The 15,932-nt window shown below is 40.3% G+C and overlaps 1 protein-coding gene across 1 annotated transcript; it reads left to right on the forward strand.

Annotated features, from left to right (window-relative positions):
- Nucleotides 6,865–8,898, forward strand: TCEAL2 (transcription elongation factor A like 2). Its single transcript, NM_080390.4, has 3 exons — nucleotides 6,865–6,992; nucleotides 7,559–7,631; nucleotides 7,990–8,898. The coding sequence occupies exon 3, from the start codon at nucleotides 8,017–8,019 to the stop codon at nucleotides 8,698–8,700; it is 684 nt and encodes a 227-aa protein (NP_525129.1). The 5' UTR covers nucleotides 6,865–6,992; nucleotides 7,559–7,631; nucleotides 7,990–8,016; the 3' UTR covers nucleotides 8,701–8,898.

Raw genomic sequence — 15,932 nt, forward strand, 5'->3', positions numbered from 1 at the left:
AACAACCTGACATCACAGCTAGAGAAACTATATAAACAAAAGCACACTAACCCCAAAGCTAGAATAAGAATATAAATAACCAAAATCAGAGTGCAACTGAAGGAAATTAAGACATGAAAAAAACATACAAAAGATCAACAAAATTAGCAGTTAGTTCTTTGAAAGAATAAATAAGACTGATAGGCTCCTAGCTAGACTAATGAAGAAAAAAGAGAGAAGATTCAAATAGTACAATCAGGAATGAGAAAGGAGACATCACCAGTTATCCCACAGAAATTTAAAAGAAAAAAACCTTCAGAGACTACTATGAACACCTTTCTGCACACAAACTAGAAAACCTAGAAGAAATGGATACATTTCTGGAAACATACAACCTCCCAAAATTGAGCCAGGAAGAAACTGAATTCCTGAACAGACGAGTAACAAGTTCCAAAATTCAATTAATAATAAAAAGCCTATCAACAAGAAAAAGCCCTGGACTAGATAGATTCACAGCTGAATTCTAGCAGAAATATCAAGAAGAGTTGGTACCATTCTACCGAAAGTATTCCCAAAAATTGAGACGGAGGAACTCTTCTCTAATTCATTCTATGAGGCCAGTATCATCCTGACACCAAAAACCTGGCAGAAGTACAACAAAAGAAGAAAACTTCAGGCTAATATCCTTGAAGAACATAGATACAAAAATCCCCAACACAATACTAGCAATCTGAATCCAGCAGCTTATCAAAATGCTGATCCGCCACAATCAAGTTGTTTTTATGCCTGGGATGCAAAATTGGTTCAACATATACAAATCAATATATATGATTCATCACAGAAAGAGAATTAAAAACAAAACCAACATGATCATCTTGATATATGCAGAAAAGACTTTCAATGAAATTCGACAGCCCTGCATGTTAAAAACCCTCAATGAAGTAGACATCAAAGGAACATACTTCAAAATAATAACAACCATCTATGAAAACACCACAGCCATTATCATATTGAATGGGCAGAAGCTGGAAGCATTCCCTTTCAAAACCAAAACAAGGTTAGGATGTCTTCTCTCATCACTGTTATTCAACACAGTACTGGATGTCGTGTCCAGAACAATCAGGCAAGTAAAAGAAATAAAATCCATCCGAATAGGAAAAAAGGAATTCAAACTACCTGTCTTTGCAGATGAAATGATTCTACACCTAGAAAACCCCACAGGATCTGCCCAAAAGTGCCTTGATTTGATAAACAACTTCAGCAAGGTTTCAGGATGCAAATCAATGTACAAGAATCAGTAGTATCCCTATACACCAACATCATCCAAGCTGAGAGCCAAATCAAGGATGCAATCCCATTCACAATTGTCACAAAAAGAGTAAAATACCCAGAAATACAGCTAAGTACTGAAGTAAAAGATCTCTACAAAGAGAATTATGAAACACTGATCAAAGTAATCAGAGATGACACAAACAAATGGAAAAACATTCCATCCTCATGAATAGGAAGAATCAGTATTGTTAAAATGACCATACTATCCAAAGCAATTTATAGATTCAATACTATTTCTATTAAACTGGCAATGACATTCCTCACAGAATTAGAACAATCTATTTTAAATTTTATATGAAACCAAAAAAGGCCTGAATAGCCAAAGCAATGCTAAGCAAAAAAACAAAGCTGCAGGTGTCATGTTACCTGATTTCAAACTATACTACAGGGCTACAGTAACCAAAATAGCATGATATTGGTACAAAAACAGACACATAGTCCAATGGAGCAGAATAGAGAGCAGAAATAATGCCATGCATCTACAACCATATGATCTTTGACAAAGTCAGCAAAAACAAGCAATGGGGAAAGGACCCCCTATTCAATAAATGGTGCTGGGATAGGTGGCTAGCCATATGCAGAAGACTGAAACTGGATCCCTTCCTTTCACCATACAAAAATCAACTCAAGACAGATTAAAGTCTTAAATGTAAAACCTGAAAGTATAAACACCCTGGAATATAACCTAGGTAATAGCATTTTGTGCATAGGACCTGGCAAAGATTTCACAATGAAGACACCAAAAGCGATTACAACAAAACCAAAAACAGACAAATGGGACCTAATTAAACCAAAGAGCTTTTGCACAGCAAAAGAAACTATCAACAGAATAAACAGACAACCTCCAGAATGAGAGAAAATTTTTGCAAACAATGCATCTGACAAAGGTGTAATATCCAGAATCTATAAGGAACTTAAACATATTTCCAGGAAAAAAATCTCATTAAAAATTGGCAAAGGACATGAGCAGACACTTTCAAAAGAAGACATACAGGCAACCAAAAAGCATATGAAAAAAATTTTCAACATCACTAATCATAAGAAAAATGGAAATCAAAACCACAGTGAGATACCATCTCACATCAATCAGAATGGCTATTATTAAAAAGTTGAAAAGTAACAGATGCTGGTGAGTGTGTGGAGAAACAGGAACACTTATACACTGCTGGTGTGAATGTAAATTAGTTCAACCACTGTGGAAAGCAATTTGGCAAGTTCTCAAATAACTTGAAACAGAATTACCATTCAATTCAGCAGTCCCATTACTGAGTACATACCCAAAGGAATATAAATTATTCTACCATAAAGATACATGCAGGTGTACATTCATTGCAGCATTATTCACAATAGCAAATATATGGAACCAACCTAAATGCCTATCAATAGTAGACTGGATAAAGAAAATGTAGTATATATACACCATGGAATACTATATAGCCATAAAAAAGAATGAGATCGTGTCCTTTGCAGCAACATGGATGAAGCTGGAGGTCATTATCCTAAGTGAACTCACACAGGAACAGAAAACAAAATATCACATGTTCTCACATACGTGCATGCTAAACATTGAGTATATATAGATGCAAATAAGGGAACAACAGACACCAGGGCCTACTTGAAGGTGGATGGTGACGACTAAAAAATTACCTATCAGCTACTATGCTTATTACCTGGGTGATGAAATAATCTGCACACCACAACATGCAAATTACATGCAGCATGCAAATTACCCTTAAAACACACTTGTACATATACCTCTGAACCTAAAATAAAAGTAATTAAAAAAAGAACAATCACTGGACCAGTTCCACTGAATTTGTAAAATAAAACCGTCACTTCATTTCACTTTATTTCATATACTTCATCATTCATTTTGTATATTTTATGTTAAATTCTCAAGAAAAATATGTGCAATTGACCCCGAAAGAAGAGGCTTTTCAGAAGAGCATTGCAAGAAGAGGTTTTTCAGAAGAGCATTGCAAAAGAACATTGAGAGCCAGTTACATCATAGGGCTTGGATAGGTCATTTCTCCTGTGCTAACCATTTTTTTTAATAACACCTTTCATATCTATGTGGAGGTTATTGAGATTCCATCTGGGAAAAAATATGTGATAAAATTGCATATAACTAACATGCACACTCTCACACAAATAGATGTGTGTTAAACGGTGAAATATGAAAAAGGTTGTTAGAGTATATCAATATTAATTTTCTGTAGTGATACTCTACTGTAGCTACAAAAGATGTTGCCATTGGAGGAAAACAGGTAAAAGAATAAGAGAGATCTCTATTATTCCTTATAATTACAAATAAATCTACAATTATGTAAAAAAGTTTTTAAAAATGCATTGCATTCTTGTCCAGGGAGCTAAGAAAACTCACCCAATTGTACTCTTGCTATGTTCCAGTCACTGTGCCAGTGACTTTACATAAATTACCTCTAGGATAAAAGTATCTCCTGGCTTTCCCTGAACAGTCCTAATTATTTTTACCTGTTGACCTAGGATCCCATCTAGCTTAACGTTTTCCAAAATTTGTCATTTTTAAAAATGTACTCTTATTACTGATATTTATGTTAAAATAAGCCAGAATGGGTTTAGGAAACCTTTAGTTCTTAGGGCTGCTGTGACAAATAACAATTTTGTTAGCTTAAGATGATACACATTAATTCTCTTACAGTTGTGGAAGTCCAAAGTCCAAAATTAGTTTTACTAGGCTGAAGTAAAGATATTGGCAGAGCTTTGCTTCCTCTGGAGGTCCAAAAGAGACTCTATTTTCTTACATTTTCCATCGTCTGGAGTTTGCATTCCTTGCCTTTCTTGGCTCATGGCCTTTTCCTTCATCTTCTAAGTCTGTAGTGTAGAATCTTGTTTCAGTTTTCACATTGCCTTCTTCTTCCGTAGTAAAATCTCTCTCTGTTTCCCTTTTATAAGAATACTTGTTATTACATTTAGGGTCTTCCTGGATAATCCTTGGTAATCTTCCTATCTCAAGATCCTTAATGACATTTGCAAAGTCCCCTTTTGCCATATAAGGTAAAATTCACAGGTTCCAGGCATTAAGACCTGGATATCTTTGAAGGCAATTATTAAGCCTACCACAGATCTCCACTTTTTACTTCCATTTTTGCATTGTTTTTGTCTGGTAGTGTGTGAGACATCCTTGTCTTGTTCTGGTTCTCAAGGGGAATGCTTCCAGCTTCTGCCCATTCAGTATAATGTTGGCTGTGGATTTGTTATACATGGCTCTTGTTATTTTGAGGTACATTCCTTCAACACCTAGTTTATGGAGAGTTTTTAACATGAAGGGATGTTGAATTTTATCCATAGCCTTTTCTGCATCTACTGAGATGATCATGTGGCTTTTGTCTTTAGTTCTGTTTATGTGATGAATCACATTTATTGATTTGTGTATATTGAGCTAAACTTGCATCCTGGAGATGGATCCTACTTGATCATGGTGGATACATTTTTTGACATGCTACTGTATTCAGTTTGCCACTATTTTGTTGAGGATTTTTGCATCCATGTTAATTAAGGATATTGGCCTGAAGTTTCCTTTTTGTGTGTGTGTCTCTGCCAGGTGTTGGTATCACTTAGTGATTTTATAGTGTTAATATATGTCTATATTTATTTTACTGATGGGAATGATACTTTTATTCTGCAATAAGAAACAAAAGGTCTCTAGTGAATGGTATGTTCAGTAATGTTACTTTTCTAAGAAAGTGGATGACAAACATTTAACTTAAAATATGTTTAATCAACATATACTATGCATCAAGAGAACTGTCATTATATCTTCTTCCAAAGGTAGTAATTACTTGAGGAACAATGTGTCAATTTATTACATGCAAATGCAAAAGTTGTGTTGACTTCTCATTTTGTGAACAGATCTTTTAATTTAGATAAAATGACATTTCTTCAAATTTAATGATACTAATTTTGAATCCCACATTTTTGTGTATATGTTTTAAAAGAGGAGAAATAGTTGTTAATACTTTGGCTCCATTAGCAAAATAACTTAGCAAATAGTTACTGAAGACAGCTTAAAATCACTATAATTAGATGATTAAAACAGAAAATCAGTTCTTTTCAACTGATTTGATATTATTTTCATCAAATTCTTGAATAATTATAATAATTTTATGGAAGTTTATACTGATGAAATTGAAACACCTAGCCTCGATAATTCAGGAAAAAAATTCAACATTGAGGACAGAATTATTGGTGATGTGGTGATAATGACGAATACACATATTGATAGAGCAAAATACTGTAGGAAGATCAAGGTTTTACTAAATGAAGAAAGATGTGTAGCAGAAATATAATCAGAATTGCTTGTGTAACACACATAATTCATAATCCTGTAATCATGATAAGGTATTTTGCAAATCAAAATAAAAATAGTTGTTGCCCAGATATACACAAGACATACACATACATATGTACACACATATACATCTATACATATATGTGTGTATAAATAAACATGTGTATATATACATATACATGTCACTATACTGTAGAAGCTAAAATATTGGTGATTCTTAGTTTTTGTGGGTGGTGGCTTCACGAATGTGAAAGAAAAGGAAAGAAAAAAAAGACAAAGGATGGGAAGGGGAGGAAATAATAGGACGGGAAAGAAAAGGGAAGGAAGAGGGACAAGCAGGGATCGATGATAAGGGTGTGTTGTAAACCAAGGACTATGATGAATTTGTGCATCTGAAATTCATATTTAAAATGTTTTAATGCTTTCTTTTCTACCTGTCTGACATTCTCTCTCTATGAAAACTGATCAAATGTTGGAAGGTAAGTTTCAAGTGTGGAGAGAGACCAAGGGAGATGGCAAGAAGGAAGTTGGTAAATCAATTTGGGGTACACGGGCTTTGGGGTCCCTCAGGGACACTCAGGCGGTGATGTCCAATAGACAGTTGGCAAAGCTGATATGAGACACGGAGAAGGGAACAGCCTGGAGCTGTAGATCTGGGAGTCATCGGTGTTTACTGGAAATGAATGAGATCACACAGGGAGAGACAACTTGAGGACTGAGGAGAGAGGAGGCCCAGGACAGAACCCCAGGAACACCGCCACTCAAGGTGGCAGCTCAGCTTCCTGGCAGGCACCACTACCCCCCGGGCTCTGGAGTCAGGCAGAGCCGGTATTGAAAGTGGGCTGTGGAGTTCTGGGGCTGAGCGCTCTTGGCAAAGTCCGGTACCTCTATGATCAGCTGTCACACCTGGCGATAATGGGCATCAGAGAGATATGCCTTGCGAGGATGCTGTGAGCTGCGTCAGGTAAAGCACCTAGGGTCAGAAAGCCACCTCTCCTCCTCTTCTCCGCGACCCCACTTTGCTACACAAACGCACCGAGACTCCGACCGTCCCCAGCCTCCGGTCCCTCAGGGATGGAAGGTGAGGTATGTCAGGAAAGAGAGGGGGGCCCAGCTCCAAGGTGAGGTGTGTCAGGCAAGAGCGGGGGCAGAGCTCCGGTGACGCGGTGCTCACGTGACCCGCCCGGCGCCTACGTGGGCACCAGCCCCCGCGCCCGCCCGCCAGCCCGCCCAGCGGTCGGGTCCGGGCGCCCGCGCAGAATCAGCTGTCTGAGCTGCCCAGGCGGCGGGGGAGCAGCGAGCGGGCTTCAGCGAGCCGCAGGAGGCACAGGCCTGTCCTGGGTCCCCGCAGGTCAGTGTGAAGGCGTGCGCTGCCGGCGGACCCTGGGACAGGGGTGGAGGGGGCTGGCAGTAGGATTGGGGAGGGGGCGGAGAAGGGATCCGGTAGATTGGGGAGGAGGGGGATGCGGAGTCGCGGGGGCGGGGGCAGTGGAGGGAGAACCCCCGAAGCAAGCCTGGCTCGCCTTCTCGACGCCCCCTTGCACTGAGTCCTCCATCCATTTTAGTGCTGGAAATGGGGGGTGGGGGTAGCGACCCCGCAGTGCGACAGTGAAACGTAGACATATTCTGGAAATAACCCCTTCTCACAATCTACACCCATGGAAACACTTGATCTCCGCAAAAATGAGGTGGCGCTGGGGCAGGTTGCCTCCGGGGAAGGGGGACACAGAGACAAACGCAGTTTGGAAAGCATCCTGGTTTGGTGCCCGAGGCCTGGAAAGAAATGGCGGCTGGGGTGCGGGGGAGGTAGGGGAGGAAAACGGTGGGTAAGCAGGGCCTGGACTCAGGAAAGGGAACCGAGTCCCTGTGAGCCCGCTAAGCGCGCAGCCCCTGCCCCTGTCTCCTGTCTGTCCGCAGGTCTGCGCGTCTGTTGTTCCCAGCGCTCTGAGAGGCCTGAAAAGGAAGAGCAACCTGTCCAGAATCCCCGCAGGTCCGTGAAAGCAGGGGGCTGCATGGACAGGGGCCCACAAGGGTTGAGAGTGTGGAGGGCACAGTCAGGGCCGAATTGGGGCCCCTGCCCATCCCCTTACCTACATGAACACACACCTTACCAGGCTGAACCAGTGCAGAGAAGGTGGCAGGGCCTGCCAGGGAACAGCTGGCTCACGTGTGTGGGAGGAGTGGTGGGCTACGTGGTGGGCAGAAGGCCCTCTTGGAGGCCCAGTCAGCTTAGGGGAACCCTCACCAGGGGTGAGATGCAAGTAGTATCCAGACCTGCATTCCACCCCATGCCCTCAGTCTCCCATGTCTCCTCTTTGTCTCCTCTTCCCTCCACACCCATCCCCCAGGAAAGGAAAAGGAGGGGAAATCTCGACATGGAAAAACTCTTCAATGAAAATGAAGGAATGCCTTCGAATCAAGGAAAGATAGACAATGAAGAACAGCCACCGCACGAGGGAAAGCCAGAAGTAGCTTGTATTCTGGAAGACAAGAAGTTAGAAAACGAGGGAAACACAGAAAACACGGGCAAGAGAGTTGAGGAACCGTTAAAGGATAAAGAAAAGCCAGAGAGTGCGGGAAAGGCAAAAGGAGAAGGAAAGTCAGAGAGGAAGGGAAAGTCAGAGATGCAGGGAGGATCAAAGACAGAGGGAAAGCCAGAGAGAGGGGGAAGGGCAGAGGGTGAAGGAGAGCCAGACAGTGAAAGAGAGCCAGAGAGTGAGGGAGAGCCAGAAAGTGAAACAAGGGCTGCAGGAAAGCGCCCAGCTGAGGATGATATACCCAGGAAAGCCAAAAGAAAAACCAACAAGGGGCTGGCTCAGTACCTCAAGCAATATAAGGAAGCCATACATGATATGAATTTCAGCAATGAGGACATGATAAGAGAATTTGACAACATGGCTAGGGTGGAGGATAAAAGGAGAAAAAGCAAACAGAAATTGGGGGCGTTTTTGTGGATGCAAAGAAATTTACAGGACCCCTTCTATCCTAGGGGTCCAAGGGAATTCAGGGGTGGCTGCAGGGCCCCACGAAGGGACACTGAAGACATTCCTTATGTGTAGTGTCCCTGGCAGGCATTTGTCAGGCCATATGTTTTAACCTTATGGTAATACTTTGCTTTAGTCGTTCCTCCTGCTACCAGTAGCGTTTTGACCCACCTGCCAGTGTTTGCTTGCTCTATGTTTCAGTAGCAGATTTTCACACATGTGCATTGCAGAGACGTCATGATTCGTGGAAAAATAAAGCAGCTTATAATATCATCTACAGAATCTGTCTGTTTTTGTTAAATACATGAAAGGTTAACAGTGGTTTTCTGAGTTGTGAGCTAGCAGGTGATTTCATTTCTTTGTTTTCTTTCTACTAATCTTTCTTTTCCCAGAGAACACAAATTACTTTTCTCACAAAAATAATAAAATATTTTTAAAAAATCAGAACAGTATGTAAAAAGCAAAGAGAATAACTGTCCAGTGAACTTATGAAGTTCAGTAGAGACACTTAACGTTCTTGTTGTCAGAACTTAAAATGATAGGTAAAATTCACATTACCTACCTGTGGGACTCATCTGGAGAAGTCAATCTGGGGTTATTACAGATCCATTGCTCTAACGGACAGTCTTTTCATTTGTCAAATAGAGATAATACCTTGCTTTTCAGAACTGCTGAGTGGGTTGGATAAGGTAGAGAATATATTTGTTGGGTTGGCATCTACCTTCTCCCCTGCTCTAGCAGAAAAAAATACCCCCTCAGACACTTGGAAGAGGACTAGGGTAAATCTTACCTGTGTCCAGGAATAAGTCTAGGAAACTGAAAGGTGGGTGCCATCCTCTTTTAGACAATGTCATGTCCACTGGGCACTGTGCTCCTTCTCATAAATCTTGCACCCTCCTAAAGCTCACATTGATGCCGATGGGCTGAAGTTCTCAAGGTAACAAGGTCCAGTTGATTTCCAGTGAGCCAAGCCTACTGACCCCATTCCACAACAACTATGAAAATGTGGATAAAGTCCCTTTCCTCACTTTAGAGTTATACTCGCCCAATAGGGTAACACCTCAGTGATGCTTCAGCCCCTGGGGGATTTCAGATTTTTAGTAAAACAATTATTTCTATGCTTGTTGGTTTGTAAGTGTTTGCATACAGCCATCTCTCCACCAAATTCAGAGATAGAGGCTGGGGTAAAATTTGAGTGGCACACACTCATCTGTTCTCATCTGTCAGTGACTTGTATGCTTGACTCATCTTTCCTTAGAGTAAATTCTCTTCTAGGAAAGTCCTTCCAGGTCCCACCTTACCAGTTTAACACCCCTACCCACATTTGTAATTTTTAGAGCAATGCTACTCAGATAGTGGTTCATGGACTAGCTGCATCAGCATCAACTGAAAGATAGTTAGAAATGTAGAATCTCACAGCCTCACCCCAGACCTACTGAATAAGAATCTTTTCTAGTTTTAACAAGATCTGCAGGTGATTCCTGTACACCTTAAAGTTTGAGAAGCAAGGTTAATGAGGAAACTCTTAGCCTCCCCAATTCCACCTTCTCATGATATATGTGCCTAGAAGGATAAATACATGTGCTTCATAGGATGCACATCACAGATTTTTAAATAGACCTGTGTTTGTCAAACTGAAGTTTCACCTTCCTATATTTGCAGAGTTTAAAACAAATTCAGCAGGTCAAGACCTGCAATATTTTTAAATGAAATAGGATATAGTAGATTCAACCAGAACCAGATAGTAAACATCAGATTATATGGCAAGTAGGTAGGATTAAAATTATTTTCTGAAATTTGTATTTCAGTTATGTATATTTGAACAATATGTTTCTGACTGTGGGGTGAGGTTTTTTAAAACTGAGGAACATTGGACTTTGCTTGTCAAAGCACAACCTGTTCTTTATCCTGGTACCCCAATACCTAGCACAGTGCCTGATTGATAAGTAATAGGTTCTTGATGAATTTGTAAATAATAATACCTGAGTCAAGAATTCTTGTCCAAAATCATTCCCTGTCTACATAAATAACTGTGGACTCTATATCTCTAGCAGCATTTACTTGCAATTCCAAAAGAAACACCATGGAGAAGGGTTTGTACCATGAATTTAACCTTATCTCATTTATTAATGCATTTTTAAAGTGTCCTAGTTTGTCACATGTCAGAATCACCATAAGACTTCATCAAAACTGTGAATTTATAATCCCCATGTCAGATCCACTAGGTGGAGCTCTATAATTTCCATCTTAAACAGGCTGCCTGGGTGATTCTGATTCATAATAAAGGCTAATCACCACTGATTTATATATTCATTATGATCTCCATTGTATTAACTGTAAACCATAAGGTAAGCAGAAAAAAGAATTACACTGTCTCTTTTTCGGTGGGGAAGGTGAAGTCTTTTCTAAGTTCTAAAACAAAGGTTAAAAGTAAAAATCCATAAAGTCAAGGTTTAATATATTTATTGCTTAGAACCCGAAAGTATCTTTAGAGCAAACCACACTTATAAACAAAGGCAAAGTCAAAGCATATCATAGTATAGTGTATTTCCTCCTCCAGATGCCATGATAACTGTGGCAGCTGAACAGTTCCACCGCTAAAGAAGACTCTTGGGACCCCAAATGGTCATGATTGCAAATCTACAGTTTGTTGGAGAAAAAAATGGATGCAACATAGCAACAGCATTAAGGAGAAACATCATAGTCAAAAGCTGTCTAATAGTAAGGGATCTGGAGTGGCCAGGTATGAGCTTTGATTATCTTCCCTCTTTATAATAGCCCTGGCAGGATGCACTTCTCTTTTCAGATAAGGAACCATTAATGTATGCATAGAATACCTTGAAACCAGAGAACGCAAAATAGTCTCAGTCAAGGTTTCTGGTACACTGCTGGTTATGTAAGCATATTCTTGCTATGTAGCCAGTCTCAACGGCAGAGCCCTTGGCAATGAGGTTCACTGAGACTAGGTTTAAATGATCAATCTCACTGTTATCAATAAAGCTAACAGGCTGGTAAAAATCATCCCAAATTCCTCAGACCCATGATTATCAAACAGCACTCTTAATCAATGTTTTGTGCCTTTACCATGGGTCAATGCCATGCAGGCACATTTCTTATTTTGATAAAAAGCTCAGGCAAATCTCAGCCCTACTGGAGTTCACTTTCACAAAATAATATGCTTTTTATCCTCCTCCTTACGATATGCATAAAGCTGCAGGCACAATTCCTAATGAGTACTATTAACATGGCCCTCACTCATTTGTGGATATCTCCCCATCTTCCCATCCCAATTCACTCTACATTCTTCTTTACCCTGCTCTGTCTCCCAAAGTACTCTGACCTATATGGACCACATCAAAGGGCTCCCTTGTCCTCTGGGAGCCAGCAGTGGTGAGTGCAGTCAGGAAATTTGTTTCCCAACTTGTTCCCTGCAGTGTTGTCAGATGCTGGTGGGGTCCCTTCTCCCAAGGTTCCTAGAAGGTAACCCTCTCCACATAGGCTCTGCACCTCCAACTTTGAGTTACCCCTCTTTGCCTCTGTCCCTCAGGCCTACCTCTGGTAATCTCACCTTTAGTAGCCATGGTGTATTGCACTACTCATTTTGGTTCTCTAATACCCTTCCCATACCTTTGTCTATTCTCCTTTATTAAGAACTGCCCTCAAATTTTCCACTGCAAATGTACCCCCTATTTCCTGCAATGCACTTTTCAGGTACAGTAACAGATACAGGAAGTCACTCCAGGAATTGGGTTCCTTGTAAATTTGAGGGAAAAATATAACCTACTGACAATAGGGTTGAGAACAGTAGGGGGAAGCTGTTAGGAGAGGTTCACATGTACACGGTATGTAGTAGTATGACGATAACTCATACACCACTGGTGGCATGGAATGAAGTGCGAGTGGAATCCAAAGGTTTGAGAAATCAAGTGGTTATGTTACTTAAGTACTAAAACAAAAATAATTACCAAGAAGTTTCTGGAGTCATCTGTGTTCATCTGACAACCCTAGAGAGTATGCATAGAAAAAAGAGGACATTGGAAGCTACAAAAATACAGCAGAGAACATATTTACAGCACCAGAAAGTCTCTAAGGCATTGTTGAAGGAGTCCCTCATCTTAGGGTAGATATAGCTGTGAACCAAGGCTAGGTCCTCATGGTGTTGTGGTTCCGCTGCCAATTAAATGCTCTAAATGCAGTTGCTTTTACAATAAAGTAAGGACACTAGTAGAGAAGGAATAGAACTGTGATATATGGGATAGGGACATTTGTGCAGACATACTCTGAGGCATTAAGAAATGCATTTGTGAGAGGGTCAAGAGCATCTTTGAAGTTTCTGTGGGCCTGTGCTTTGTAGGCTGGAGATGATGGTGCAGAATGCTGCAGTAGAATTGTCCTACCTCATCTTAATGTGAATTATGGAATCCCAGAGTGGTGGAAGTCAGGTGACAGGGCTTAATTATCTGAGACAAGGTGAGTGGAACTACCACAATAAGCCACAGGAATTGAATGGTAATTAGTGAATTTATGGCCCACAGGGATTTGTGGTGATAGCTAATCAGAGCATTCCTTAAAATGAAATAATTGGGCAGCCTATTGGATGCTGCTTGACATATTCAGGCAGAAAAAAATTTCTAGATCTGCAAGAAAGTCTAACTCAAGATGCTGTAGCATGTTTTCTAAACTTCTTACCCAACTGAGGGGAAGGAAGGGTACGTCCAAGGTATGATCTTGCAGCCACTGGTGTATACTGTGACTCTTACATCAAACATTTCCCAGTGGGACCTACAGACACTTTTCAGAGTGACTGTGCACTAAGGAAAATAAAATACCAAAATCTTCTGGGAGTTATTAGCTAAAGGCTCAGGATTGAGGCTAATTTCTGGAGACCTCAAACTGTATCATAACATAATCAGATTGGGGAGCTTGTGAGATGCTGTGTAGAGGAAATAAACCAATAACTGATCTATATTTGGAAAGTAACTGCTGGGTGCTGGCTGGTACCCAACATCTGACTATGTTATTCCAAGTAACTATGCACCTAGAAATGTTATCATGAACTAGCTACTGTTTAATTCATCAAACCACATAACTAGAAATGCACAGCAGAATTCTATTTTAAGATGAGAATTATACATAACTGACTGAATTTAAATGTAACTAAAAGGCACAAGAAAACTACATAAGCAAGAAGTTCAGACTCTCAAGGTACTGTCTGCTACTGCTTGGCCACCTCCCTATCAACCCACATTTGTGGCCTAATGGAACATTCCCTGTAACTAGAGAATAGAAAAGTATAGGTCTGTTTTATAGATGAATGTACATGGCATGCTGGAACCCACTGGAAGAGAAAGGCTGCTCTACTACAATCTCACTCAGGAAAGACAGCAGCAGAGGGAAATCTTACTAATGGGCAGAAATTTCAGTGATATAACTTGTTGCTCACTTGGCATGGAAAGAGAGACAGCCTGATTCATGAGCAACAGCACGTGAGTTGGCTGGCTTTTCAGGGACTTGGAAAGAACAAACTTGGAAAATTAGTGATGAGGAGGTTTAGTGGGGAAGTATGTGCATGAACTGTTCACAAGGTAAACAGCGTGCCAAAATATTTGTTTCTCAATTAAATAATCACCAGAGGGCATCTATTATGGAAGAAGTTCTTAATAATTAGGAAAAAAAAATAACGTTTTTAGCAATGGTAGATCACCTTGTTTCAGAGCAAACCCTCCCATGAAGAACTACTAGAAAAGCCGAACAGAAAACAAACAATCTGTTTGAAGACACTGGGGAGATAACAAAGCACTGAAGACTTGTGTGACCAAAATTTTAAAGAGAAAATAATTCCACAGACATGAAACCTAGACTTGGTAGAACTTTTTTGCTTTGAGACATTTGTTGATAGGAAAGTTAAGGATATTAGGCTGAGAAGCAGTAAAGTTTTCAGCAGTTTTAAAAGGCTGGGACACAGAAATTGAAGTTCAGGTTCCAAGGGAGGAAGGGTCCTGGTATACGTCCTTGAATTTCAGTTGGTACCAGGTAACATTATGCTCTAGAAATAAAGGTAAATGGAAAATAAACCTGTTTTCACAATATCTAAAGCCTAGCTTTAAATAAGGTCAGTCCCAACTTGAATTAAGATGATCTGTTTCTGTCCTAACTGGGGACCTCAGACCTACAGTATATTGACTTAAAAATGACACAATTTGTAAATTTAGAAAGGAGATTTTATTTTTTATAAAGAGTTACAGCCTTCAAGGTGGTCATTTTGACAGTCTGGGAAGCATAGCCTCTGGCAGAACCTGGAAACAGGCACTTCGAGGGAGAAAGGGGTAAGACAGGAATTTATGCTGGATAGGTTGGCTAAGCATACATATTCAACAGGTTATAGGAGGAGATATGAATATAATTCAGTGAGTCCTAATGCATGCCTATTGAATAAACATCCATGTTATATATGAACCCCGTTCACATTGGGGTGGAAACTTAACATTTAAATATATTACAATTAGTCTCTATAAGTTAAAAGGTAAAGCAGGGACATGAAGGCACTCAAGTTCTGGCCTCTGTAAACTGGCCTAGAACCAGCCCATGGTCAGTGGTCTTCTTATCAGGAGAAAGTTACTGAAATCTGTCTCTTGTCCAATCAAAGCTGTAGTTATGGCTTGTGGAACAGGGAGTCAGTTACTCCGTGTCTGGTAGTGAGCTACAATTGTTTTAATATTGCTTATCTCAAGGCCGGTGTTTGTGTAGCTGTTAGACAAAAAGAAAAATCTTGTAGCAGTTAAAACATAGTTTACTCTTTAAGTCCAGGCATGCATGACTTAACCCTTACCTGCTATGGCCTTAGGTCCTGTTTATAATTTTGTATCTTATTGCCACAAAGAGTCCATTCTATTAGCATTAATGATATATATTTTTACATTAACTATGGTCAGTTGTTTTGTCTAAATTGTAAAAGGGAGGGGGTATAATGAGGCGTGTCTGACCTAGCATCCTCTCACAGCCAGGAACTCAGTTTTTAAGGTTTCTCTGGAGTCCCCTTGGCCAAGAAGTGGTCTGTTCAGTCGGTGGGGGGCTGAGATTTTATTTTTAGTTTACAATACAAGAAACTAAATTTTGCCAAGAGGAATTAGCTTGGTAATACATTATTTTTTGTCAAGATCCCCAGATACGATCTCAGTGTAGCTGACACCTTGATTTTAGCTTTGTGAGACCCTGATTAAGGAATTCAGCTGTGAATTCCAAAGTTCTGACCTATAGAACTGTCAGATAATAAGTAGGTGTTGTTTTAAGCTGCTACATTTGAAGTG

Source organism: Homo sapiens, chromosome X (genome assembly GCF_000001405.40).
Source record: "Homo sapiens chromosome X, GRCh38.p14 Primary Assembly".
Taxonomy (NCBI): Eukaryota; Metazoa; Chordata; class Mammalia; order Primates; family Hominidae; genus Homo; species Homo sapiens.